Source organism: Homo sapiens, chromosome 15 (assembly GCF_000001405.40).
Source record: "Homo sapiens chromosome 15, GRCh38.p14 Primary Assembly".
In the NCBI taxonomy this organism is placed as follows: domain Eukaryota; kingdom Metazoa; phylum Chordata; class Mammalia; order Primates; family Hominidae; genus Homo; species Homo sapiens.
Genome location: NC_000015.10, coordinates 52,178,738 through 52,206,327, shown reverse-complemented (window position 1 = coordinate 52,206,327; position 27,590 = coordinate 52,178,738). Strand labels below are relative to the sequence as shown.

At 44.0% G+C, this 27,590-nt stretch overlaps 2 protein-coding genes and 1 long non-coding RNA gene across 9 annotated transcripts in view, besides 5 other annotated features; 2 read left to right on the top strand and 1 right to left on the bottom strand.

Annotated features, from left to right (window-relative positions):
- The window catches only part of MYO5C (myosin VC), a 103,483-nt gene extending 89,477 nt beyond the window's left edge, over positions 1-14,006 (top strand). For all 5 annotated transcript variants that reach the window (XM_047432845.1, XM_017022408.3, XM_011521781.4 and 2 more), the window contains 5 exons: positions 362-512; positions 1,181-1,463; positions 9,845-10,019; positions 10,871-10,951; positions 12,274-14,006. In XM_047432845.1, the coding sequence (XP_047288801.1) occupies positions 362-512; positions 1,181-1,463; positions 9,845-10,019; positions 10,871-10,951; positions 12,274-12,426 (843 nt within the window). In that variant the 3' untranslated portion in view covers positions 12,427-14,006. The remainder of the gene's footprint in view (positions 1-361; positions 513-1,180; positions 1,464-9,844; positions 10,020-10,870; positions 10,952-12,273) is intronic.
- CERNA1 (competing endogenous lncRNA 1 for miR-4707-5p and miR-4767) lies at positions 449-26,302 on the bottom strand. Its single transcript, NR_102751.1, has 3 exons — positions 25,927-26,302; positions 25,126-25,278; positions 449-1,439 (listed from the first exon to the last, which is right to left on the bottom strand). It is a non-coding gene; the product is annotated as a competing endogenous lncRNA 1 for miR-4707-5p and miR-4767 (long non-coding RNA).
- Positions 14,339-14,838: an enhancer, noted in NCBI's record as "H3K4me1 hESC enhancer chr15:52483687-52484186 (GRCh37/hg19 assembly coordinates)". NCBI's record gives its function as "activates a minimal SCP1, AML or CMV promoter by ChIP-STARR-seq in primed H9 embryonic stem cells {active_cell/tissue: H9 hESC(primed)}" and the evidence as "EXISTENCE:reporter gene assay evidence [ECO:0000049][PMID:30033119]".
- Positions 14,936-27,590, top strand: part of GNB5 (G protein subunit beta 5) — a 76,293-nt gene continuing 63,638 nt past the window's right edge. The window contains exons 1-3 of one of the 3 annotated variants that reach the window (NM_016194.4): positions 14,936-15,006; positions 21,634-21,777; positions 26,449-26,560. In NM_016194.4, the coding sequence (NP_057278.2) occupies positions 21,652-21,777; positions 26,449-26,560 (238 nt within the window). In that variant the 5' untranslated portion in view covers positions 14,936-15,006; positions 21,634-21,651. Of the gene's footprint in view, positions 15,007-21,633; positions 21,778-26,402; positions 26,561-26,636; positions 26,714-27,590 lie in introns of those variants that run through there. The other 2 variants (NM_006578.4, NM_001379343.1) reach the window with 2 other exon arrangements.
- Positions 21,754-21,923: an enhancer, noted in NCBI's record as "experimental_39732 CRE fragment used in MPRA reporter constructs". NCBI's record gives its function as "activates a minimal promoter by MPRAs in K562 erythroleukemia cells, with activity observed for the introgressed 15:52476687 variant allele {active_cell/tissue: K562}" and the evidence as "EXISTENCE:reporter gene assay evidence [ECO:0000049][PMID:34662402]".
- Positions 25,685-26,186: an enhancer, noted in NCBI's record as "H3K4me1 hESC enhancer chr15:52472339-52472840 (GRCh37/hg19 assembly coordinates)". NCBI's record gives its function as "activates a minimal SCP1, AML or CMV promoter by ChIP-STARR-seq in primed H9 embryonic stem cells {active_cell/tissue: H9 hESC(primed)}" and the evidence as "EXISTENCE:reporter gene assay evidence [ECO:0000049][PMID:30033119]".
- Positions 25,772-25,861: an enhancer, noted in NCBI's record as "active region_9424". NCBI's record gives its function as "activates an Ori minimal core promoter by ATAC-STARR-seq in GM12878 lymphoblastoid cells {active_cell/tissue: GM12878}" and the evidence as "EXISTENCE:reporter gene assay evidence [ECO:0000049][PMID:35858748]".
- Positions 26,232-26,891: a silencer, noted in NCBI's record as "silent region_6445". NCBI's record gives its function as "represses an Ori minimal core promoter by ATAC-STARR-seq in GM12878 lymphoblastoid cells {active_cell/tissue: GM12878}" and the evidence as "EXISTENCE:reporter gene assay evidence [ECO:0000049][PMID:35858748]".

The following is a 27,590-nucleotide window of genomic DNA, read 5'->3' as shown; positions in this document are numbered from 1 at the left end:
CTCATTTATTGTATCCACTTACCTCTTCATAGCAGTTTGTTTCCTTGAATGCTCTGCAGTTTTGTTTCATTTTCCTATGCGCTTCCATGGGCCTTCTACGAGCTTTTCCATTTAGTCTATAGGTTCCAGGGACAATGTTTGTAGGGAAGTGGGTGGGACAATGACAGTGTGATAGACTGTGATCATACAGGAAATCAGTGCAATTTTTTTCTTATAGAAGGTACATGCTACCCCAAGCATCATGAACTCATTTGATATAAATCAGACATTAAGTTTTAAGGTAAAAGAGTTATAGTAGCTGATTATTAATTTCCTACATGTTTGTATTATTCTAATATTTTATGTTTAAAATTACTTTTAGGAATTCATGAAGCATAATAGTCCACAGCAGAATAAGAATTGCTTGAACAATTTTGACCTTTCAGAATACAGACAGATTCTCAGTGATGTGGCTATACGAATATATCATCAATTTATTATCATAATGGAAAAGAATATCCAACCGATAATAGGTAAGAAGAGAATGGATGACCAAAAAATATTTATAGTAACATTAAGACTTTTTAAAACATAAACTTGGTATGTGTAATGTGTGATTATGTGTAACATTGTTTAAAAAGCCAAGGAAATATAATCATGTAGATATCTGCCTTTTAATTCTTTGCTTGCTTATAATGATTCCATAAATAATAGTACGCTGTTGGTAGTTTTCTTTATATAAGGATGATTTATCCTGAAGGAAAAAACTTGGGGAAACTTCTACTACTGCTATTTATGTGGTACTTCTACTTCTTGGCGTAGCCAAGTATTTTTGAAATCCTAAAGCCCCATTCGAATTCTTGTATACTTTCCTTAATTTCCTGAAATTTAAATACTTTAGGCTTTAATGCCCAGGCCATGATTTGTCATGCTAAGCAGCTTTCTTTCCTGTGAAGCTGAAAAACGTGCTGCTTCAAACCTACAAGAGGAGCTGCAGCCCCGCTGGAAACAGCCGTCCATCCCTAACCCTGACACACACCCTGGTGTCCCAAACCCTTGATTCTTTTGCTTTCTCTATCATAAGTACATCCACTGACTCTTGTAGAAAAATGTCCCATCTCCTGAAACAAACCGAAGAGCGTCGGGAACGTTCCGCGTGTGTCTCCTGGCGTGTCAGCACAGCCTCCCTGTCTCTCCGCAGTTCCGGGAATGCTGGAGTATGAGAGCCTGCAGGGCATTTCCGGCCTGAAGCCCACAGGCTTCCGGAAGCGCTCCTCTAGCATAGACGACACGGACGGCTACACCATGACCTCCGTCCTGCAACAGCTGAGCTACTTTTACACCACCATGTGCCAGAACGGCCTGGACCCCGAGCTTGTGAGGCAGGCGGTGAAGCAGCTCTTCTTCTTGATCGGGGCGGTCACGCTGAACAGCCTCTTCCTGCGCAAGGACATGTGCTCCTGCAGAAAAGGGATGCAGATCAGGTAAAACCCAGAAACCTCCGCTCACGCGGAGAGGCCTGCAGAAAGGATGCTCTTGAAGTCCGAGGCCCCACGCGCCTGACCCTCCCTGCTGTGGCGTCAAACCCCTGTTTAGGCCCTACTGCTGTAGGGATATTCGAGTCACCCTAGGAGCCCCGGGATGCTGGCGCCCAGGGCCTACTCCCCTCACGCCACACCCTGCCAACTAGATGGACTGGCCTAGCCGCTTTAACCCAGAACCAGTAGATGTTCATCTTAAATTCTGGCCCTCTAGGGTGGTCATGCACTCAACCAGTAGTGACTACCTTCTCTGAATAGCACTGCCAGGGGGAGAACACAGGAAACAAGGAAAAGTCGATATGATCCCTGCCTTTGAGAAGCTCAGAATAGCTAAATAATAATGAAAGGCAACTATGATTAAATCACAAACAAGTGGTGCAGGAAATGTATCAGAGAGGAGAGACATTGCAGACGGAACAGTTGGGGAAGCCAGAGAGTTGTGCCTTGAGTGATAAAGGAAACGGAGAAGAACGTTCCAAGCAGGAGAAACGGTCAGAGGCATTGCGGGGAGTGAGTGAGGACCTCTGCTCAGGCTGCATGTGGAGTAAGCGGAGGCTGGTGTGGGGAGCAGCAGGACCAAGGTAAAGAGCTAGGTTGGATCCACACTGGGAGGGTCTGGAATACCAGGCTAAGGCATTTGGAGTTCATCCTGAAGACTTGGGAATCTAGTTTTGAGGTGTGTCTACTATCTCTTAATTGAGACACCATGGACCCTGAGCCACTATTTGAATTAACACTGATCAAGTGATTGGAAAACACATAATATAGGATATTTACGTTTCTTATAGTGTGTGCAGAAATTTGATACCTGTATCTGTTATGAGAACCTGGGGTAGTGATGATGGTAATGACGTAAGGGAAGGTGACAAAGAAAGTATCTATCATTATGCTAAGTGAAATAAGCCAGGCATAGAAAGACAAACATCAGATGTTCTCACTTATTTGTGGGAGCTAGAAATTAAAACAATTGAATTCATAAAGATGGAGAGTAGAAGGATGGTTACCAGAGGCTGGGAAGAGTAGTGGGGGGCTGAGTAGAGGTGGAAATGGTTAATGGGTACAAAAAAAAGAGAGAAAGAATGAATAAGACCTACTATTTGATAGCACAACAGGGTGACTATAGTCAATAATAACTTAATTGTGTATTTTTAAATAACTTAGAGGCCGGGCGGGGTGGCTCATGCCTGTAATCCCAGCATTTTGGGAGGCCGAGGTGGGTGGATCACCTGAGGTCAGGAGTTTGAGACCAGCCTGGCCAACATGGCAAAACCCTGTCTTTACTAAAAATACAAAAATTAGCTGGGCGTTGTGGCACATGCCTGTAATCCCAGCTACTCGGGAGGCCGAGGCAGGAGAATCGCTTGAACCCGAGGCAGAGGTTGCAGTGAGCCAAGATCACACCATTGCACTCCAACCTGGGCGACAGAGCAAGACTCTGCCTCAAAAAAATAAATAATAAAAAAGATAAAATAACTTGGAGTGTAATGGATTGTTTGTAACTCAATAAATGCTTGAGGAAATGGATACCCTATTCTCCTTGATGTGCTTATTTCACATTGCATGCCTGTATCAAAACATTTCATGGGCCAGGCACAGTGGCTCACACCTGTAATCCCAGGACTTTGGGAGGTCGAGGTGGGCGGATCATTTGGGGTCAGGAGTTTGAGACCAGCCTGAGCAACATGGTGAAACCTCTGTCTGTACTAAAAATACAAAAAAATTAGCCAGGCCTGGTGGTGCACACCTGTAATCTCAGCTACTCATGAGGCTGAGACAAGAGAATCACTAGAACTGGGGAGGCAGACGTTGCAGTGAGCCAAGATCGCGCCTCAGCACTCCAGCCTGGGGGACAAAGCAAAACTCCGTCTCAAAAAAAAAACAAAAAAAAATTTCATGTACCCCATAAATATATATACCTACTATGTACCCAGAAAAATTTTTTAAAAATTGAGTATCTTAAGTCAAAAAATACATGTGAGAGGCATCCCTTACACCTTTTTAGCATTAGTGAAACTTTGGAGTTGGAGTCAATCCCCATAGACCATTCCCACAAATTCTCATGACAGCAGGGCATGGTTTTCAGATAGAAAGGGGTATTCAGAAGGACTAGTCTTTGCAGATCTTTATGTCTTCATTGAGAAATGAGTTATGTTTATTTCACAAGCTCCAAGCAGATCCTGTAGTCCTCTGTAGTAGATTTCAGCCCTAAAGTAAAGCCACATCAGAGCCTTTGCTAAACTCAGTTCTCACTCCCTCAGTGGATCCCCCAAGACTGAGTAGAGACATGAATGAAAAGGATCATGAGGGAGACACATGACTCCAGGTCTTAGAACAACTTCTTTGAGGACAGGCGAACACCTGCCCCCCAGGTACCCAGTACTTTTTCCCTTCCACCAGGTGGAAGTGGCCATCCTTTTCTTTTTCTTTTTTGAGATGGGGGTCTCACTCTGTCACCCAGGCTGGAGTACAGTGGCACGATCTTGGCTCACTGCAACCTTCGCCTCCCGGGTTCAAACAATTCTTCTGCCGCAGCCTCCTGAGTAGCTGTGGCTACAGGCATGCGCCACCATGCCCGGCTAATTTTTGTATTTTTAATAGAGACGGGGTTTCACCATGTTGGCCAGGCTGGTCTTGAACTCCTACAGGCATATGCCATTTTTGTAGAAACGGAGTCTCACTATGTTGCTCAGGCTGGAATCTATGCTTCCAAATGGGGACGTTTAGATCATTTTAATGTAATATAATATTTATATTTAGGATTACCATTTTATTAATTTCTGCTTGTTGCTTCTGGTTTTCATTTCTCCATTTTCTTTATCTGCTTCTTTTGGGTTATTTGAAATTTTTTAGTATCCCTTTCTAAATTATCTATTTTTTTTTTTTTTTTTAGTATTATCCCTTTGATCTTTTTTCTCAGTTGTTGCTCTAGGGATTCCAGTACATATACTTAACTTTTCACAGTCTATTTAGAATCAATATCTTACCACATCAAGTGGAATGCAGAAATCTTACCATCATGTAGGCCCCTTTAGCCTCCCTACTTTATGTTGCAGTGGTCTTATATATTAGATCTACATACATCAAAAACTGTACCATACAATATTATAATTTTAGTTTTCAACCATCAAACATATTTTAAAGAACTCAATAAGAGAAGAATAGTCTATTATACTCAACCAGGTATTTACCATTTCTGTTGTTTCTTCATTCCTAATGTTCCAAGTCTCATTTTTTTCCAAGTCTCATTTTGATATAATTTTCCTTCTGCCTGAAGAAAGTATTTTAGTATTCCTTTTAGAGCAGTTTTGTTGGCAATAAATTATTAGTTTTCTTTCAGTTGAAAATGTCTTCACTTTACCTTTATTCCTAAAGGGTATGTTTGTAGGATGTAGAATTCTGGATTGACAGTTGTTTTCTTTCACCACTTTAAAAATGTTTTACTTTTTTCTAGCTACTGTGGTTTCAGATAAGAAATCCATAGTCATTTGAATTATTCCCCATAAATAATGCATAATTTTTCGCTGATTACTTTTAAGATTTTTTTTTCTTTGTCTTTAGTTTTCCATAGTTTGTGATGTGTCTGGGTGTGGATTTCTTTGGTTTAGCCTGTTTGGAATTTCCTGAGCTTCTTGAATCTGGCCATTCACCAAATTTGGTACATTTTCAGCCACTGTTTTTTCAGATATTTTGTCTGCATCATACTCTTTGTCTTCTCTTTCCAGAACTTCAGTGAACCAGCTGTTAAAGACTTTTTGTTATTGTCCCACAGGTCCATAAAATTCTGCTCCTTTTTCTTAGTTCTTTTCTTCTGTGCTGTTCAGATTGGATAATCTCTGTTAATCCTTTCAAGTTCACTGACTCTCCTCTGTCATCTCTATTCTGCTAGTAAGCCCATTCAGTGAGTTCTTTTATTTCTATTATTGTATTTTTCAATTCTAAAATTTCCATTTGGTTTTTCTTTATATTTTCTGTTTCTTTTCTGAGACTTTATATCTTTTGATTCATTACAAGAGAGTTTGGCTTTACTTTTTAGAGCATTTTTATGATAACTTCTTTAAAGTCTTGGTCAGATAATTTGAATATCTGTGTCATCTCAGTGTTGACTTCTATTAGTTGTTTTGTTTAATGTGAGTTGAGATCTTTCTGGTTCTTCATATGCCAATTTTGAATTGTATATTGGATATTTTTAAATACTGTATTATGAGACTCTAGGTCTTCATTTTTTAGTTTATGTTTTTATTATTATTATTATTATTATTTAGTTACCCAAGCTTGAGTGCAGCAGCACAATCTTGGCTCACTGCAACCTCTGCCTGGGTTCAAGCGATTCTCGTGCCTCAGCCTCCCAAGTAGCTGGGATTACAAGCACCCACTACCATATCTGGCTAATTTTTACATTTTTAGTAGAGACGGGGTTTCACCATGTTGGCCAAGCTGGTCTCGAACTCCTGATCTCAAGTGATCCACTCGCCTCAGCCTCCCAAAGTGCTGGGATTACAGGTGTGAGCCACCATCCCTGGCCAAGACTCTAAGTCTTTAAATCATATGGAGAATGTCAATATTTTCATCAGGCGGACAATGCACTTGGGTCAGACTGCAAGTTCTGACCACCCTCTATGCTTTGTGGTTCTCATGCCATTTCCATGTGTAAGGGTTTTGTGGTGCTCTTTGGGTCCGTTTCATATGTGTGAAAAATGGTGGCCAGCTTGGAACTTGGGTAATGGTATGTTTCATAGTTCAGTTCTTAAATTCTGTATATGCTGTTTAGGGTCAGATTCATGCGTGGGCTCAGGGATAAACCCAGGAGTTAATAAAGAACTTAACAAACTGCTTTTCCCAACTTTCCCAGGCTCCTCCCTTTCTGTGGCATTCCTATTACTTTCTGCCCCCTTTTTGGTGCTTCAGCTAGAAAACTGGAGCTTTCCTTAATTTGCTCTGCAGTGTACTTACTGCAGATGTCTCTATCTGGGGCCAAATGGTGAGGGCAAAGAGAGAACCTTGAACCACAGATCCTCCAATTGGAAGGGAAGTTTCCCTTCTCTTCGAGTTTTAGGTTCCTTCTGGCCTCCTTCGCCACCACTGCTGTCGACATGGGATTGGAACTTGAGCATGAGAGAATAGAGAAAAAGGAGAGGGAAAAGGTAGGGCATTGAGCATTAGGAGGCCCCTTTTCAGCTCCTTGAGCTAGAATCAGAGAGCTCCCCTGGAGCTCTTTGTTGGCATTGATGCCCACCTCTGAGTTTCAACCTGTGGCGAGTAGAGGCCAGTGAATAGCAGAGGGGAAAAGTGATGATCTCACTTTTGACTTGGAAGGACTTCAAATTCTGGTCATCTTCCCCAATACACCTGCTACTATTTACTTTTCCAAGTCCTCAAATAGCTGCCGAATGCATTCCATTCAGGCTTTATAGCTGCATTCAGTGGGACAGACAAGATGGAGTGTGGTTACTCCATCTCACTGGGAACTGGAAACCCACCACACATCTTTGAGTGGGAGAATTAATGTGCTCAAAATTCAGATTTTAGAAAGGACTGTGGCAGTATTTGAATAGGGTGAATTAGAAGGGCTGAGATGGGAGCCCCATTAGAAACCTGTAATAAAAACTAAAAGTAGGGCCGGGCGTGGTGGCTCACGCCTGTAAATCCCAGCACTTTGGGAGGCCGAGGTGGGCGGATCACGAGGTCAGGAGATCGAGACCATCCTGGCTAACACAGTGAAACCCTGTCTCTACTAAAAATACAAAAAAATTAGCCAGGTTTGGTGGCAGTAGCTGTAGTCCCAGCTACTCGGCAGGCTGAGGCAGGAGAATGGCGTCAACCAGGGAGGCAGAGCTTGCAGTGAACCGAGATCGTGCCACTGCACTCCAGCCTGGGCAACAGAGCGAGACTCCATCTCAAAACAAAAACAAAAACAAAAAACTAAAAGTAGGCCAGGCGCGGTGGCTCACACCTGTAATCCCAGCACTTTGGGAGGCTGAGGTGGGCAGATCACAAGGTCAGGAGTTCGAGACCAGCCTGGCCAATATGGTGAAACCCCATCTCTACTAAAAATACAAAAATTAGCCAGGCGTGGTGGCAGGCGCCTGTAGTCCCACCTACTCGGGAGGCTGAAGCAGGAGAATCTCTTGAACCCAGGACATGGAGGTTGCAGTGAGCTGAGATCGCACCACTACTCTCCAGCCTGGGCAACAGAGTGAGACTCTGTCTCAAACAAACAAAAAAACAAACAAAAAGCAACAACAACAACAACAAAAACTAAGCAAAAGTAATAAGAACTCAAACTAGTGGGACAAAAGTAGCAATGCAAAAATGAGGGATAGTGAGAACCAACCCAAGATATATCATCTCACACCCACTATCCTATGGAATAACATTAATTCAGCATCACTGTCCAAATGTTACAGCCAGAAAGAAGACCCACATGGGGCATTGCTAATCCTTAAGGTCACAGCTGGGACTGATTTTCTTTATTTTGAGAAAGTCTCACTCTTGTCGCCCAGGCTGAACTACAGTGGTGCAATCTCAGGTCACTGCAACCTCCGCCTCCCGGGTTCAAGTGATTCTCCTGTCTCAGCCTCCCGAGTAGCTGGGATTATAGGCGTCCGCCACCATACCCAGCTAATTTTTTTGTATTTTTAGTGGAGACAGGGTTTTGCCATGTTGGCCAGGCTGGTCTTGAACTCCTGACCTCAAGCGATCAGCCTGCCTCGGTCTCCCAAAGTGCTGGGATTATAGGCGTGAGCCACCATGCCTGGCCCAGAGCTGGAACTGACTTTAGAGATCACTTTATTCAACACTCAATTTTTTTTAGCAGTTTCATTGGTATGTAATTTATATACCATACAGTTTACCTGTTTAAAGTATATAGTTCAGGCCAGGCACAGTCACTCACACCTGTAATCCCAGCGCTTTGGGAGGCTGAGGCAGGCAGATTGCTTGAGGCCAGGTGTTCAAGACCAGCCTGGCCAACATGGTGAAACCCTGTCTCTACTAAAAATACAAAAATTAGCCGGGTGTAGTGGCAGGCGCCTGTAATCCCAGCTACTCAGGAGGCTAAGGCAGGAGAATCGCTTGAACCTGAGAGGTGGAAGTTGCAGTGAGCCTCATGAGATTGGGCCACTGTACTCCCGCCTGGGTGATAGAGGGAGACTCCATCTCAAAAATAAATAAATGAGTAAATAAAGTGTATAGTTCAATCGTTTTTGATATATTTACGTAGTTGTGCAACTATCACTGTAATGTAATTATAGAACATTTTCATCCCTCCAGAACGAAACCTTATACTCATTAGCAGCCAGTCTCATCCCCCACCCCAACTCCCTACCCTGCCCAGCCTAGGAAACCATTAATATGTTTTCTTTCTCTACAGATTTTGCCTATTCTGGACATTTAAAAATAAATGAAATCATAAAATGTTATCTTTTGTGGATGGCTTCTTTCACTTACGTAATGTTTGGGAGGTTCATCCATGTAGCAAATATCAGCACCTCATTCCTTTTTATTGCTGAATAATACCCCATTGCATGGATAATGCCACAGTTTGTTCATTCATTCATCAGTTGATGGATATTTTGGGTTGTTTTCACTTTTGGGCTATTATGAATAATGCTGCTGTGAACATTTGTGTACAGAGTTTTGTTTGGACATGCTTTCACTTCTCTTGAGTACATGTCTAGGAGTGGAATTGCTGTGTCATATGGTAAGTCTGTATTCGATTTTGAGAAACCACCAAACTGTCTTCCACAACAGCTGTACCATTTTACGTTCCCACTAGCAATGTTTGAGGGTTCTCAACACTCTCATTGTGCCCAGAGAGGTCGATTAACTTCCCAGGCTCACACAGTGGATTGGCAGGACTAAAACCCATGCCTCTTAACTCATAAACCCATGTGGCAATTAGTGACAGAAATAAGAATAAAAACTGCAGTCGACCGAAAGCCTTCACTAATTGAAAGATTTCTGCCAATTCAGGAAAAAGAAAACAGTTTTTTATACTTATGGAAGTCTTCTCTTCAGATATCACTGTTTCTTTCCTTTAATCAATTTTCAAAATTGTATTTCGTAAGTGATTGCAATCACTGTTCTTTGCTCAGATTTTCCCCAAAGTCTGTAGCTGTTCCGGCCCCTCAGCCTAGACCACCATGAGTCTTAGAACTCTGGATTAGGAGAGCTGATCATCAGTCCAACTCCCTCATTTTGCAGATGAGTAACTGCTGAGCTGTGGTCTTAAGGATCTCAGCGAACTCTGGTACCCTCTCGGGACACACAGGAGTATCTGGCACCCTTCCCTAAAGTATTCTCTGTTCTTCTGCCTTTCCCTCCAGGTGCAATATCAGCTACTTAGAAGAATGGCTTAAAGATAAGAACTTGCAGAACAGCTTAGCAAAGGAAACTTTGGAGCCCCTCTCTCAGGCAGCCTGGTTGCTTCAGGTCAAGAAGACCACAGACAGTGATGCCAAGGAGATCTACGAACGCTGCACCTCACTGTCTGCTGTGCAGGTGACCAGGCTTGCTTAGTGTCTCCCTGGCTCTTCCCTGACACATCAGTGCAGTGGGCATTGCCTTTCTTGGTTTAGCCAGCTGTGGGCACCCTGATTCTGTGTGTACTCTCGGGAGCATACCTATCACCCATGGCCCACCCTTTTATCTAATAAATATTTATTAAATACTAACACTAGGTCTTAAAAACATAGAAATGGGCTGGGCGAGGTGGCTCACAGCTGTAATCCAGCACTTTGAGAGGCCAAGGTGGGAGGATTGCCTGAGCCCAGGAGTTTGAGACTAGTCTGGGCAACATAACAAGACGCTCTACCAAAAAAAAAAAAAAAAAAAAAAAAAAAAAAAAGCTGGGTGTGATGGCACACACCTTTGGTCCCAGCTACTTGGGAGGCTGAGGCGGGAGGATCGCATGAGTCCAGGGGTTCGAGGCTGCAGTGAGCCATGATCATGCCACTGCACCCCAGCCTGGGCAATAAAGGGAGACCCTATCTCAAAAATAATAATAATAATAATCACACACACACATATACACAAATGTCTATGATGCATTCATTCCCTGCCCATTAAACTCACAAATGTGTATGTGGAGGGGTGGCCATGTGGGAGGTGGGGAGGCTAGAAGGGGGCTCCTCTTACTGTTTTCTGATTATCTGATTTGCCTTTGCTCCCTAAGGCACTTTTCTCCCCTTGTTTTCTTTTCTTGGAAATAGGTAACATACAGTTCCTGAACCAAATTATAGGCTAAAAGAACCACCTGTGCTTCCCAATGGTTCCCAATAACCAGAACCATTATTTTATGAACAGAGTTATTATTTTGCATGGTCTAACACCATGTTATGTACCGTTTGCAGATCATAAAGATCCTTAATTCATACACACCTATAGATGACTTTGAGAAGAGAGTGACTCCATCCTTTGTTCGCAAAGTACAGGTGAGATTCTTAAGGATGTGCCTTTTAATTTTACTTCCTAACTATGGTATAAGATGTTGATACTTAATTAACATTATAGAAATCCAGGATTAAAGTACATTTACCCACATATACAAATGAAAGGCACCCAGCTCAAAGGTAAGCAGGAAATTTTCCTGTGAAATTTTCAGAATCCACCTTAGTCCAGGTGGGAGGGGAATGAAAGCACCAAAATCATGTCTCCCGTGCTGTATTCTGTCAATATATCTTATTTCTTACTGATCGTTGAATACTGTGCAAGTGGGCAGAGGCTGAATGGAAACAGAGACCATTTTTCTTTTATAATCATTTGTATAACCATTTTTTCTTATATAATCCCTAAAGTTTGTCCCCTAAGGAACTCTAGGGCAGCAGTTCTCCAAGTTTGGCTCAAGGATCCCTGGGAGTCCTTGAGACACTTTCAAGAGGGTCTGCAAAACTCTTCCTTTTTCTAAATATGTACCTGTGGATTTTCTAAGTAGGTATCTGTGGATTTTCTCAATAGTTATCTGTGGATTTTCTTCGTGTACTTCAACCAAAATAACATATCACAACAGATTGAATGCAGAAGCAGATATATATGATATATCGTATATATGATAATATAGCATATATATTAAAATATGGCGTATATAATATATGGTTATATATGATAATATATTAAGTCAGACATGAAAGAGATTTGCAAAAATAGAAAATACCACTTCTCACTAAATTTTCTTTGTTTTGGAAACTTATGTTTAACATGTGTAGAGCTTATTTTAATGAATTAATAAATCATTTTAATTACTAATATGGCAAATACCGATATACACATATACACAATGTATATTTAATTACTAATATGGCAAATGCCAATATACCCATATACACAAAAGCTTTTGGGGCCTCAGTCATGTTTTAGTATAAAGCGGTCCTGAGACCAAAAAGGTTGCAAACCCATGAATGAAGAAGAAAGATGGGTTCAATAAAAATGTAATACTTGAAATCTACTCATGTTTGACCTTAGAATTATGCCATGAGAATAGATTAGAATAGAAAACAGATTTATGGTCAACTCATCCCATGGGAAATTAACTTCTGAAGTGAAACAGGACAAGTTAATTGTTCTGAGAGCTGATCTGGAAGCCCTGGATAGACTTTGGAATTGTGCTGTTGTTAAAAAGTTCTCATGTATGTCATTTCATGTGATGGTGCAAGGAGCTCTCCACTAGAGATAGCTGTGTTTTGCCTTGACTTTCAGGTAGCAGTAAAGCAGAACATGTTAGTTTCCTTACTCATTTTTCCTCTGATTCTAATTTCAGGCTCTCCTAAATAGCCGGGAGGATTCATCACAGCTGATGTTGGATACCAAATATCTCTTTCAAGTCACATTTCCTTTTACCCCCTCTCCACATGCTCTGGAAATGATTCAGATCCCCAGCAGTTTCAAGCTAGGCTTTCTGAATAGGTTATAGCAGGAGAAAAAGTCAATGCACTTTTTCTTCAAAAGCTAAGTGAAGGTTCAATATGAGGGATGTGTTTTATTAATTGGCAGTGGAAATTGGAATGTGATTTAAGGAAGAAAACAGACTTTTCTCAAATGGACCACATCATCTCTCACTCACAGTGACAATGCTGCTCCTGTAATTTTGTAAGAATTCACACACACCAGCTGTATTTGGAAAAGCCATGTCTCACTCTCGAATCTCAGCTGGTTTTCACTGAAATTCCTGGAGGGCTCATATTTTCTTCCACGTGCCTCTTGATCTGTTCTGTCTTGTGGCAGGGCTCTACCAGGAGGGAGTGAGATCTGGGGACACAGTGGCTTCCAAGTTTTCTAAGGTTCATGTGAAACCTGAGTACATTTACAAAGCTGCAAGTGGATTCTAGTGCTGAGTCTTCCAGGAAAAAATCCCGTTTGGCCACCGTGACCTGCCAAAAGTTCTCTTGCCCCATGCCTGCTGGGGACAGAAGGTTTTCATGAACTCTTTTTACTGAAAATGCCCTGCATTTAAAAATGTTTATTTTAGACCCTTCTAAATTTTTTTTTTTTTTTTTTTTTGAGACTCCGGAGTCTCGCTCTATCGCCAGGCTGGAGTGTAGTGGCATGATCTCGGCTTATTGCAACCTCCGCTTCCTGGGTTCAAACAATTCTCCTGCCTCAGCCTCCTGAGTAGCTGGGACTACAGGCACCTGCCACCACGCCCAGCTAATTTTTGTATTTTTAGTGGAGACAGGTTTCACCATGTTGGCCAGGATGGCCTCGATCTCTTGACCTCGTGATCCGCCCACCTCAGCCTCCCAAAGTGCTAGGATTACAGGCGTGTGCCACCGCGCCCGGCTGACCCTTTTAATTTTTAAGAGTGTTCAATCCGAGATGAATCATTTGAAGTATTTTTATATGTATATCTATTTAAAACTAATATATTATTAAAGCTTAATTGCCATGCCGTTTATCTTCTCTGAAAGAACTTCAAATCTTACCTGCCAACATATTCACCATAATTTTTTTATTTTTTAATACCTTTCATACAATAACTTTTTTAAAACAACCTCAGATTGAAAAAGCAACCTAAATTACTTTCGCTCTCTAATCAGCATTTCAATGTATTTATTTTTAAATTTTCTCAAAAAGTAACTAAAAAATTGTGTCGGACCCTACTTTTGAGAAATCTACGTTTCCCAAGTTTTATGGGAACTGGCTATTCCTTGTCCCGGCACACCTTCTCATTCCTTCCTTTCAGAGCCTAAAACCTCATTTGATAAGCACTCCTAGTCTCTGGCCTGTGGATCCAGTGCTATTCTGTCACCAACCTAAGAATCCCAATTGCACCTTCTGTTTCTGACAGTCACAGGTGACAGCTGTGATTCTATAATACAGACTGGTGTCTTAGAGGTAGGAATAATACATGATTATGAAGCATCACCCTGCTAATACATAATAATGTCTTTTTATATTATAAGTGATTGAGTTTAGTTCATTTCAATACATTGTACATGAAAAAATGAAAAGTAGAACTTTGTAATACTTTAATCAATAAAATTAATTACCAAATGAATTGGGTCAGATTCTTTCATTGCGAGGAGATGACATGTCTCTTAAGTGTACAAGTTGTATGCCTTTCTTTACGGTCATACTGAAAGATGCTAGAATCTTTATAGATTCATAATATCTCATTTAAAGTATATTAAAATGTTTAGAGAAGAAGTAAATATGTCATAAGTGCTGGCTTAGGCTGTGTCTCCAGGGCGCTTCCACACTGTCAGAATGAGGGGCTACTTGGCAGAGAATTGGCAGGGTTTCTGATCCTGAGCTGCGGCCTCCATGCCCTTTCTAGACCTTCCCCACACCATGAGGAGCCATCACTGTTGGTTTTCGGCTTCCATAACTCAGGATTTATGCCTGTTTTATAGCACTTACCCTGGACTGGAAGCCAGAAATGCTGCCCATTTCCTCTGTAGGCCTGTGAGCCCCAGAGGGCAGGTGCCACATCCTCCTCATCCCTGCCTTCATCCTACTGCTGATGAGGTGGGAAGAGAACTGAAGGAGCAAAGTCCCGTTGGAGGACTGTGTGTGTGTGGTGGGGAGTCAACCATGGGAAAAAGTAGGTCATGTTTGGGGACAGGGAGACCTGTGGAGGCTGAGGAGTTTATGTGTGGAAAAATGGGGAAAGGGAGGCACTCATCCCACAGTCTTGATCAGTTCTACAAAGCTGACAGTGGCAAGGAGACCAAAATAGAGAAATGTTAAGAACATGTGGCCCAGGTGAATGTGAGGGCTGCTCAGTGAGTGGGCGCAGACACAGAGGTCAAACCTGCCAAGGCCTCCCTCCACAGAGGGGCTGGGCAGGTTCCAGGGGTGAGTGAGGGATGCAGATGGCAGTGCGTGCCCAGCAGGGAGCATGGAAGTGCTGTGGAGGAAGGAAGCAAGCTGAGCAGCACTCCAGAGAAGATAAGGAGATTAGCCAGTGGGAGACGTGCTTCACACCTCAAGCTGCGCGCTGGTCCTCACCTCTCACCATCTGCTCTGTGGCTCCCAGTGCTGACTCTGGAAGGTATGTGCATGCTGACATTCGGTTAAAATACTCCAGCTTTTGAAATGCTCAGAAAAGCATCCAGATGAGTACAGGGCACAGTGTTAGCAGGTCTTTCTGTGCGGTGGGAGCATGGGTGAGGGGTTTTGTTGTTGTTAATCCGTAGAATCTAATTTTTCTACAATACACATGAATTTATTTTGAAATAGTAAATTTCAAATATTTCAAATTGAAATATTTCAATATTTTTTACATTAATATTGGCATCAGGAAAGAGATTAAGCATACTTAAAATCACTAAGTCAGTTTTAAAATTTGATCCAGGTGACACATGGCAACATAAGCCTCTGAGTACAGCTTATGGGGTTAGAAAGAGGTTTTTAGTTGTAAGTCTGAGATACATCCACATTGTGTGTATCAGTTATTTTTTATTCTATGCTCATTTCACAGTTTCGTCTGTGACTGGTGAACATTTGGGTCTTTCAAGTTTAGGCCTTCTATGAATAGCTGCTATGACATTTATGTTTTTTTTTTTTTTTTTTTTTTTTTTTTTTTTTTTTTTTTAAGGAAATAAGCATTATTTTCTGTGGTGTATGTATGCACGAGTAGAATTGCCTGGTCATAGACTATATCCGTTTCACTTTAGTAGCTCCTACCAACCAGTTTTCTACAGTGGTTATACCGACTTATACTCCCACTAGCAGAGAAAGGCAGTTCCAGTCTCTGCATCCTTGCCCACACTTTGTGTTGTCAGGCTTTTTAGGTTTTCTGATGGCTAAGTAGTTGTATCACATCGTAGTTTTACTTTGTATTTCTATGATGACTAATGATAATGAGCACCTTTTTATATGTTTATTGACCATATAAGTATCCTCATTTGTGAAGTGACTACACAAGCCTTTTGTCCATTTTAAAAATAATCTTTGGGCTGGGCGCGGTGGCTCATGCCTGTAATCCCAGCACTTTGGGAGGCTGAGGCGGGCAGATCATGAGGTCAGGAGATTGAGAGCATCCTGGTTAACACGGTGAAACCCCATCTCTACTAAAAATACAAGAAATTAGCCGGGTGAGGTGGCGGGCGCCTGTATTCCCAGATATTTGGGAGGCTGAGGCAGGAGAATGGCATGAACCTGGGAGGCGGAGCTTACAGTGAGCCGAGATTGCGCCACTGCACTCCAACCTGGGCGACAGAGCAAGACTCTGTCTAAAAAAAAAAAAAAAAAAATTTATTGAGATATGATGTCCACGTTTTGTTTCATGTTTTAAAACCCATCATTTTAAAACATATATTTCAGTGTTTTTTAAGTTTATTTACAAGGATTTGCAACCATTGCCACTGACTCCAGAGTATTTTCATCACCCCGAAAAAGAAATCCCATACCCCTTAAGCAGCCACTCACTCTCAGCTCCCTCCTTCCCCCTTATTCTCTCTTCCCTCCACCTCGCAACTACTCATCTGCTTCATGTCTCTATGGATTTGCTGATCCTGTACACTTCATATAAATAAATCATACAATATGTGGCCTTTTGTGTCTGGCTTCTGTCATAGGATAGCGTTTTTAAGGTTTGACCATGTTGTAGCATGTGTCAGAACGTCATTCTTTTTTATTGCTGAATAGCAGTCTACTGGAGGGATAGACATTTTGTTTTTCATTTGTCGGTTGGTGGACACTTGGGTTGCTTTCACTTTTGGCTAATAATGCTGCCATGAAAATTAGTATGTACATTTTTATGTGAACATATATTTTCTTTTTTTTTGTTCTGAGACGGAGTCTCACTGCATTGCCCAGGCTGGATTTCAGTGGCGCGATCTTGGCTCACTGCAACCTCCATCCCCCAAGTTCAAGCAGTTCTCATGTCTCAGCCTCCCAAGTAGCTGGGATTACAGGCACCTGCCACCACGCCTGGCTAATTTTTGTATAGTAGATATGGGGTTTCACCATGTTGCCCAGGCTGACCTCAGGTGATCTACCCGCCTGGGCCTTCCAAAGTACTGGGATTACAGGCATGAGCCACCACGCCCAGCCAGTGAACATACATTTTCAAGTATCCTGGGTATATATCTAGAAGTAGGATTGCGGGGTCTTATGGTAACAGCTGTATATTTAAGTTTTGAATAACTGCCAAACCGTTTTCCACAGCTGCACCATTGGAAAACGGCTACCCCACTTTACCTTCCCACCAGCAATGTATGAAGGTCCTTTTGTCCATTTTTAATTGAGTTAATGAAGCAGTATTTTAAAAGTAAAAACTGGATATACCCTATGTATCCAAACACGGAAGTTGGTTTAATAAATTATGACACTCCACAGCATAGAATAATGCTGAACCTATTACCAAACAAGGTTGATCTATAAGTGTTAACAGAATAAGTTAGATGAAGAAAGCAAGTAGCCCTATTTGCATGACTACCAAAGCTGTATCTATGTGTTTGTGCCAGAAAAGTCTGGAAGAATAAACAACAAACTAAGGGCAGTGAAAATGCAGGGCATGTGATGGGGGATTCAAGTTTTACTTTTTCATCTTTGGTACTGGTTCTTTTTAAAATAAACACGTATTTCTGTGGTAATTTTTTAAGTCACATATTTAGGTAAAACAGATATCAAAGAAAGTTTGTGCTTGGCATAAAGTTATTAGGGGAAGGTTTGAGAAGTTCTATGAACTACTGCAGAGCAACTTCATGTCAAAATTTGTTAAATGGGGCATTTCTGTCTTTCTTGTCAAAATGCTCATCGAAACATTGGCTCTAGCTGTGAAAAATTCTCTCATCATAAAAAGGATATTGACAATAAGTACAACAAAGTACTAAAATTTAGCTGATACAAATACTAAGTGAAAAACATCAAGATACAGAAATGTAATCAGTATACATGAACAGTATGACCTCAGTGGTCTCAAATCTATTCTTGCTACACCAAAATGTAAAAAGAAGTTTCTCTGAGTGGTGGGATTATAGGTGATTATCTTCTTCCTTATATCTTTTTTTCCCCCAAACTTTCTACAATGCATATGTATAATATTTACAGTTTAAAAATGCTTTAAATTTAGTTTGTAGCTTGCCCATGTTTAACCAGTGAGGTCTAAAATGCTAGCTATGTGATACGACTTAAGGCCCATAGGACTCAAAAATTGGAGTCTCCGTTAAAAAATGGTGTTTTCCAGTAATATGCAATGACGTGAAGATGAAAATGCTATTATATAAAGTAGTATATGGCATATAATTCCAATTTGTTAAAAAGTACACACATATATACTTATAAAGATACTAGAGGAAAACATAAAATGCCAACAGGTCAGTTGTTGGTGTAGGGCATGTGGGCGATTTACTTTCCCCTTTTTGTGTCCTTCTGTTTCCACTTATTTATTTATTTATTTTTAATTTTTAATTTTCTTTGAGATGGAGTCTCACTCTGTCACCCAGGCTGGAGTGCAGTGGCATGATCTCAGCTTACTGCAACATCTGCTTCCCGGCTTCAAGTAATTCTCCTGCCTCAGCCTCCCGAGTAGCTGGGATTACAGGTGCGCACCACAACGCCAGGCTAATTTTTGTATTTTTAGTAGAGATGAGGTTTCCTTATGTTGGCCAGGCTGGTCTCAAATTCCTGGCCTCAAGTGATCCACCCGCCTTGGCCTCCCAAAGTGCTGGGATTACAGGCATGAGCCACCACACCTGGCCCTGTTTCCAGTTATTTATAATGAACATTATCAGCATCTTTTATAATTTGAAAAAATTCAAAATTTAGTTTGAGAAGAAAAACATTGCCTCTATCTAGATATGGAATATCGGCTATCTTTTCAACTTGTCTTTCTCTCCCGTGCCTCCCAGCCATCCTTCTATTCCTCCTCCACTTGGTGCCATAGGTTCCTCTCGCCTTCCATTCCCATAGCTGCTCCTCTGTCCGCAGCTCATTTCCTCTTCTCCAGAACATAGCAATCTCTTAACCTAGTTTGTTTTCCTGCCGTCCCTTCTCTCTCTCTCTCTGACCTACTTCTGGAAGCACAAATGCTGGAATAATCCACGTGGATGACACTGCTCCCTTGCTTAACAGCCTGTGGCTCACCGTCCTAATGCTATTACTGGGAGTGTTCAGCCCAACCTTGTTACTGGCTGCCTTTACAGGGCTGGGGAGTGGGATGCAACAGTTACCAAGCCCCACCATGGGCCAGGCTCTGGAGGGCAGGCCCTTTTTTGTTAACTCACCTTTTGTGACAAAACCATGCAGCTTGACCATGCTAGCTTGGAAATAGGGTTCCAAAGTGTGTATTCATGCTACTTACAGACTCAGCTCTGCCGCTGACCTTGAACTTGTTTAATCCCCCTGCTTTTCCTCAGCTGTAACACAGATGTCCTGCCTCCCTCCCAGGGAGAGGCGAGGGCTGGGCACTCTGTGGCAGTTGGTAGCTGGTTTCCTTGCGAGCTGTTGTCCCTAAGGGATGCCCTGTACACCTTTGTTGCCCAGAGGTCTCGAACTGTGCTGACTGCCCCTTTGCTGTAAGAGCTCAGCCCAACTCATGAGCCCCCATTATCTCTCCAGCCCCAGGGTGGGCTCCACATGGCAGACGTTCCTCATCAGAAATGTCCCCAACTGTCACCTCCCCCATAAATGCATCCCTCTCAGATTTGACTCTGTTGAAATGTTCAGACCAGCGCCCCCAATTATCTTTATGTTCAGGGGTTCATTTCTTTGAATCTTGACGGGGCTCACTCTAGAACACCTACCAAATTGACAGGGCCACACTGGCTGCTCCCTTCCCCCTTAACCGCTTTGTCCTCATCTCCAGCAATGGCAACATAACCCCTCGGTCTCCCAAAGAAATCTAGGCCACAGCACCCACATCTCCCTCTCCTCAACTCCACATGCCAAATCCAGCTCCTTCTCTCTTTCCTAAGCATGGTCCAAGTCCATCCCACTACATTGCTTTGTGGGCCTAAAAGGAAGAGGCTGTAGCACAAACCAAGACTTAAGGAGTTTACTTGAGCCAAAGTGAGGACAGATTCCTGGAAGGCCCAGACCCAAGTAACCTTGGACATTATCTCTGTTTGGCCTTTGTTACAAGCAGTTTTTTTAAAAAGGCAAAAAAGAGGGACCGGGAGTGGGCTGATACAAAGTTGTTAGGAATTCTCATTAGTTTACAGAAATAACATTGATTAGCGACTGGTTATACATTGTTACACTACAGGGTGTGGGTTATAGTGTCCAGTGTGGCATTATTAGGTTATTTTTTAGCTACTTGTGCCAATGGCAAGCAGTTTCAAGAGATGAGGCCAGGTGTGGTGGCTCATGTCTGTAATCCCAGCACTTCGGGAGGCCGAGGTGGGTGGATAACTTGAGGTCAGGAGTTTGAGACCAGCCTGGCCAACATGGTGAAACCCTGCCTCTACTAAAAATACAAAAATTAGCCTGGCATGGTGTCTTATGCCTGTAATCCCAACTACTTGGGAGGCTGAGGCAGGAAAATCGCTTAAACCCAGGAGAACGAGGTTGCAGTGAGCCAAGATTGTGCCACTGCACTCCAGCCTGGGAGACAGAGAGATACTGTCCCAAATAATAATAATAATAATAATAATAATAATAATAATAATAATAAAAAGATGAATACACAGCTCAAAGTGGGGACTAGAACGTTATTGCTGTCTCATTTTCATGATTCTCTGGGCCTGATAATTTAAAAGGGCTTGCATTCCTCAGATAAAAGTTACTTTCTCACCTTTAGTCCATGACTTCCTCGCGTCTTGTCTGAACCGTTGCCATAGGCTCCTCTTATGCTTTCTTTGGCATCCCCAGCCTCACCCTGCCCCTACCCATGTCCCTCCTTCCCAAGGCAGCCACTGTTCCCGCTATTGCTGCCACTCAGGGCAGCATGACCTCGCTGGCACACTCCCTGTATTACCGACCTTGAGCTAAGTGCTTTACGCACTGACTCTTATCATTCTCTTGACAACCCCAGAAGGGTAGATTTTAAGATCTCCACTTGACAGATTAGCAAAACCAAGCTTCAGAGAGGTCAGCTAACTAGCCTCAGTGGTGGGCCGGGACCAGGCAGCCAGAGCCTGTCCCTGTAACCACTAGATGCTTGTGCTGCCTCCCTGCAGCGGCCTGGGCCTGTCTGTTGACTTCCTTGTGAACAGGCAGGGACCCTGGGTCTTTGGCTGTCAAATGTTTAATAAGTGAGTGCTTGCCTTGCACGGAACCCACACCACACTTACTCAGGCCCCTGGCTTTGGTTGGGGTCAGGCTCCATCATTTGCTGACCCTTATCTTTAAAAGTTCACCCTGAGGGGAGGAATGTTTTTAAAAGTTTTAAGTTATAGCATCCATTACAAAAACGTTTTCCATTGTGAAACCCCACAGAATTGATATTGTGCTGCAAGGATCAATCCTGCCTGACGCAGGTCTGCCAGCTGCCAAAAAACTGGTTAAACGTGTTAAGTTCAGAAAACCTATTGTCTGATGCTTTCTCACTGATTAAATGAGTTGTATTGACCCAGCATGTTGTAATAGTTGAAAGGTTATAAATTAACTGCATATACTCTATCCCACATGTAGACGTCTGAATAGCTACCACGGTACAAGCAAGAAGAGATTTTAGAAAGTTAAAACCATTGGCTTTTCTCACACCCCCTCCCTTCTTTTCACTTTTTTTCAGCTTTATCTTGGGTAAAAGATGTGTGATCAGACCTTTCTCGTTAATGTATTTGGCTCATGTGACAAATGTTTCAAACAACGAGCTCTGAGACCAGTTTTCAAGAAGTCTCAACAACTCAGCTACTGTTCAACATGTGCAGAAATTGTAAGTGCCACTTAAAAAAAATTCAGTTATCTGTCTTAAAACAGTCAAGCGAGGGTCCTGTGACAGATGAGATGCCATAGAATCAGCTTATATAACACACACTTTTCAGTATGCCTGGGCTTGGTGAGGCAGTATAGTACAGAGGTTCAGGGTGTGGACTCTGGTGTCTGACTGCCTGGGTCCAAATCCTATTGATGTTCCTAGTTATTGGTGTGCAAGGAGGTTCTCACCTCTCTCCTGAAGCCTGTTTTTCCCATCTGCAAATAGGAATGCTAATAGCACCTACATCATAAGAGTTTTATGATGATCAAATGATTTCATTTGATAACTTATTTTAAATAGTACCCAGCAAGGAAAGTACTCAATGAATGTTTTAGCTTCTATTATTTCTTAGGGCTAATACTTTTTTCTTCTGACTTCTACAAGTCTGCTTGGCAGGCAATCAAGCTAAAAGAGAAGCTGGCAAATAAACAGTCTAGGAGCATCTTTCCAAGGACCGGTCCCAGTGGTGTGTAGGTCCAGCTCTAATGAAGATGGAATCTCACAGGGCCTCAGTAGTGAGCAAAATTCAGCTCAGAAGTACTCCTTGGGCCTAAGCCTTCAACAAAGACTAGGAATGGAATACAAATCCTGGAATTTTTCAAAGTACACAAAATCAAGTCCTCACCAGAGGTGGCTGTGCACAGGCTTCAGATCTTGCAGCAAAAATGCCCACAGCATCACTGAAGCCCTAAGAATTAGTCCTATCTCTGAGAATTTGCAAAGCTGCGCTCAATAGTGCAGCTGAGCAGAGCCCCCACTTGGTGAAAAGTGGTAAAGCACTCCTCCTGAAAAGCCCAGTAGGAAATCCCCACACATTTAAAAAAACAACAACAAAATCCATAATACAACCAAAGAGAGGAAAGATGACTTTTACATTTTATCTAACTGAAAAAGAAAAGGCACTTTTTATCCTCCTGATTCCACTGTAACCCCTGACCATGATTACATTAAAAATTATTCCCTTAAAGCAAATAGCAAGTAAACAGCCCAGGGTGGCATAAAAAGGCTTTGATACAGCATAGCAATTTGGATATGTCTTCAGCCTAGGTGTAGTGGGCTTCTACCTGTAGTATATTTCTACAGTCTACGTTCTAACTTGGCCCTGCAAATTGTAGAACTGAGGACATTTAGTTCTTAAAAATAAACCTGCTTTCTGGGGGCCTTACCCCCCCCCCATTATTTATTAATCTAACTCTTCTGCTTTTTAAACAACTTCCTCTGCAGGTGGAATAAGCCCAAGAATCCCAGATTTTGAGTCCTCTGTGGCACACAGGTTCTCCCTAGCACAGGGGCCATGCCTGGAGATACTTTTCTAGGGAATAGTTGCCAGCTAGCGCTACTATTAGGTTGGGGCAAAAGTAATTGCGGTTTTTGCCATTGCTTTCAATTGAAGCAGTGGCACGATCTCGGCTCACTGCAACCTCTGACTCCAGGGTTCAAGTGATTCTCGTGCCTCAGCCTCCTGAGTAGCTGAGGTTACAGGCACAAACCACTATGCCTGGCTAATTTTTGTATTTTTAGTAGAGAGAGGGTTTCACCATGTTGGCCAGGCTGGTTTTGAACTCCTGACCTCAGGTGATACACTCACCTTGGCCTCCCAAAGTGTTGGGATTACAGGTGTGAACCACTGCGCCCGGCCCACACAATCTTACTTAATTCTCATAACAATTCTCATTGCTTTCAATTGAAAGCAATGGCAAAAACCACAATTACTTTAATACAATCTCTACTCTCTACTTGGGGGTTCCCAAATATTCAGACAGCATCATTCAGCTGAAGAGACATCCAGTGACTGACAGCTGGCCTTTCATCCAACTGTTTGGGATTATGTAGACACAGTCCCCATTGGGCCCTTTTTGTGAATAGGAGTGACCCTTTATCTCAACCACTGTGGAATGTAGCTGACCTCAACTTTTCTGATATCCAGCTTCCTCAGTGGGAGTTAACACCAAAATACAAGAAAGTACTTGGAAAACTGCCTAACCATTAAAAGTCTGATGGCCTCATCTCTAGATAGTTGACTCTCCAGGTTGGAGGCTGTTCGAGGTTTATTTTACACAAAGAACCCCCAGAAGAGGGCACACACCAGTGAGAAGTACCACGTGCCTCAGGTCTTCACAGCCAGGAGGACCTTGAACCACACACACATCCTGCAACGGTCCAAACAGAGCCAGCCTAAGGAGGTGATGAGATGAGGCTGCCTTGCCTGGGCCCCCTGAGATGGCCCTTGTGAGAAGAATCCCCCATGACCCAGTGTCTCATTTAAATTACCTCATGTGAACTGCTCAAGCGTATCAGGCAGCCTCAGTAATAATAACAGATGCATACTGTGTGCCACGCACTGCTCTCTCCGAATGCCATACAGAGTCTGAAGGAGGTGTTGTCCCCCATTCACAGATGAGGAGCCTGAGGCACCACAAGTAAATCCCTCAGGCCACAGAGCAGAGCCAGGATTTGCCCCCAGGCAGTCAGATCTAGATAGAGCCTGTGCTCTTAACCTTTTGCTTTACAAACTCTCAAACAGGTGTAATATTTTTGCTTTTATATATTCTTATCTTATACTTAATAATTGTATTTATATATTTATTCATTTATAAACATGTTTGTTATATGTTTATATTTTTAACATAGTTTATACAGATTTATATATTTTATATATTTTTTATACATCCATTTAATAAACTAGCATTAACTGAGCACCTACCATATGCAAGTACTATGCTAAATATCTAAATACTAAGGAACAGCGACAAGTAAACCTATTATTATACGGATGGGAACGGAAAAGAGAACTAGCAGTGAATAAGCATCTGCTATGTACGGAGAAGTCTGCTAAAGTCTTCACCCACACTATCTTACCTTTTTTTGTTTTGTTTTTGTTTTTGTTTTTGTTTTTTTTGAGTCTTGCTCTGTTGCCCAGGCTGGAGTGCAGTGGCACGATCTCGGCTCACTGCAACCTCTGATTCCAGGGTTCAAGCGATTCTCGTGCCTCAGCCTCCTGAGTAGCTGAGGTTACAGGCACGTACCACCACGCCCGACTAATTTTTGTATTTTTAGTAGAGAGAGGGTTTCATCATGTTGGCCAGGCTGGTTTCGAACTCCTGACCTCAGGTGATACACCCACCTTGGCCTCCCGAAGTGTTGGGATTACAGGTGTGAACCACCGCACCCGGCCCACACCATCTTACTTAATTCTCATAACAATCCTATGAAGCAGATCCTATGAAGAAGCTTTTCCAGATAAGGAAACGGAGGATCCCAGACTCTAACCTGCAAAACAACTATGTACAGATTAACATCGAGTACCTTCAACTTTTCTCAGATAGAGAAGGCCCGGGACAGCAAGTGGAGGCTGGCTTCTCTGGGAGGGAGCAGGTACAGAGAGGTGGGGACAGCACCCAAGATTCTGCTTGGCGATGTTCTCGCAGCATCTGTAACTTTGATCTGCCTTCTCATTCTCTGCACAAACGCATGCAAGATCACATAGGAGGGAAAAAGGAGAAGGCTTGAGTTGGATCATCCACACCAAAGTCCAGAGCACTAGGGAGCCAGCCTGTCTGGGTCCAAATCCTGTCTCTCCCTCTTTCTTGGAGCATGCCCCCTGAGCAATTACTCAGTCTTTCTGTGCCCCAGTTTCCTCTTCTGTAAAGTGGGAATAAGTGTGCCCATTCAAGTTGACTCCTGTGAGGATTAAACAAGTGCAAATTAAAGCACTTAGAACAGTGCCTCTCACACTTCAGGCGCTTGCGGAGAGGGGATGCTTCAGTCTGACAGAAGTCGCTAAACGTGCATCCTGGCAGAACTGTGCCAGCCCTTCATTCTAAAGGGCAGGAGGTGGCCTCAGAAGTGAGAGGTCCGAGATGCCTGGGCGTGGGCTCAGAAGCCCCAGGTCTGAGCCTGCGCGCCCACTTGACCCACCGCCATCTCCTTTTGCCGCCCCCAGGCCAGGGACCTGATTCCTGCGTGAAGAAAAGAGAAAATAAGGGTGGGCCTCCTAATGCCGCAGAGACTCCGTCTGAGAACCCAGCAACTAGTTTTATTTTTGTATATTTAGATCAACAAACGAAGAGGGTTTCCGGTTCCTTGTTGGGGGAGCACCGTAGCTACCTGCGGCCAAGCCTCGTAGCCGTCTCCTCTCCCGTCCTCTCTCTGCCTGCAGGAGCCACGGGCCCGCAGCCCGCAATCAAGTCCCACAGAGCGGAGATCTGCACGAGAGGCTTGGGGATGGGAGGGCCATGTCGCGGGGGCCTCACCGGTCTCCCCAGAAGCGGGGAGTCCCGAGTTGGAATCCCGGCTTGGCCCTTCCCTCTGTGTGCGTCCTCGGGCAAATCACCCAGCATCCCTAAGCCACAGTTTGCCCGCTGGTAAAATGGGCGTCACACTCCCTGCCTCTCCCGGAGGAGAGAGGCTGACGCGGACATCGCACCAGGCACTGCGCCAGAGCGCGCGCCCAGGTGCGGGGTCTTGGGGCTCAGGCGCAGCAGCCGGGCCCGCAGCTGCTGGCGTCATCGCGGAGGGCGGGGCCGCGGGGCGGTGCTCGGGGCCGGGGACGGCTGCTGGAGCGGCGCCCGCCGCGGCTCAGCGCATTCCCGCTCTCCGCTTCCCTCTCCGCTGCGTCCCCGCGCGAAGATGGCAACCGAGGGGCTGCACGAGAACGAGACGCTGGCGTCGCTGAAGAGCGAGGCCGAGAGCCTCAAGGGCAAGCTGGAGGAGGAGCGAGCCAAGCTGCACGATGTGGAGCGTGAGTGCGGGCCGGGAGGCGGGCGGGGCAAGCCGGACCGGCTCGCCACTTCCCGGGCGGGGACGGCGGGGGCGGTGGGGGCGGTCGTGGCTGCGACGGGAGCCAGGCCCGCGCCACCGCCCGGGAGCAGGGCCCTGGGGCCCGGGCGCGCAGGTGAGGCGCGGGTAGCGGTCCCGATCCCCGGGACGCGCGGCGGTGGGGCCCTCGGAGGGTCCGGGCACCTGGCCGACCCCCGCCGCCAGCTAGCGGAGGACCGCGGGACTAGCTATCCTCATCACCTGCCTGGAAGCTGCGAACGGATCGCGTTCTTGCCCCTCCCATGCGGAGGGCAGGGGGTGGGGTGTCGGTGGTGACGAGCGAGCGCGGCGAGCCCGTGTAGGCGCGGCCTAGGAGAGACTCCTGTTTTGTTTTTTAATGCCCGTCTGGCTTTCTCCATCACTGTTGTATCTTTTCTCAGTTTTGCTTTTATGAGACTGCAATTTCAAAGCTCATTTTTCCAACCTCTCCCCTATCCTTGGGGCGGGGAGCTGGATGACGGAGAGAGAAGGGAAACGGAGGAGCTCACTAAATTCAACCGTTCAGTTCGTTTAAGGCTGTTTAAAAAGCTTTTGGATCGATGTGGTGGATTGGCATAAAAAAGCCATAGCGATCTTAAACTTGCATTCTTCACCACCACCACCGTAATTCAGAACTGGCTCTGTGATTTTTATGAGTGAGCGATTAAATAGCCAGGTTCAGCGGCTCTTGGCCAAAACAGCGTTCCTTTACTTTGTCAGAGGGCTCCTCCTCAGCAGAGCTTGGGCTGGGGGCCAGGCTTGGGGAAGTGGTTGTATCTGCTCACTTTTGAGCTCTGAGGGTGGCATCTCCCCTTTGCTGAGCACCTCCCACGGTGCCCTCCTGCACACCTTGACGTTGTTCTCCTGCCATTCCTAATCGATGCCACCCTTTACATTCTATGTGGAATGGAAAAATGGGGTTCGTGCTAGGGCCTTTACCTTTTGATCTCTGAAGATCACTTAAGAGAAGTGGA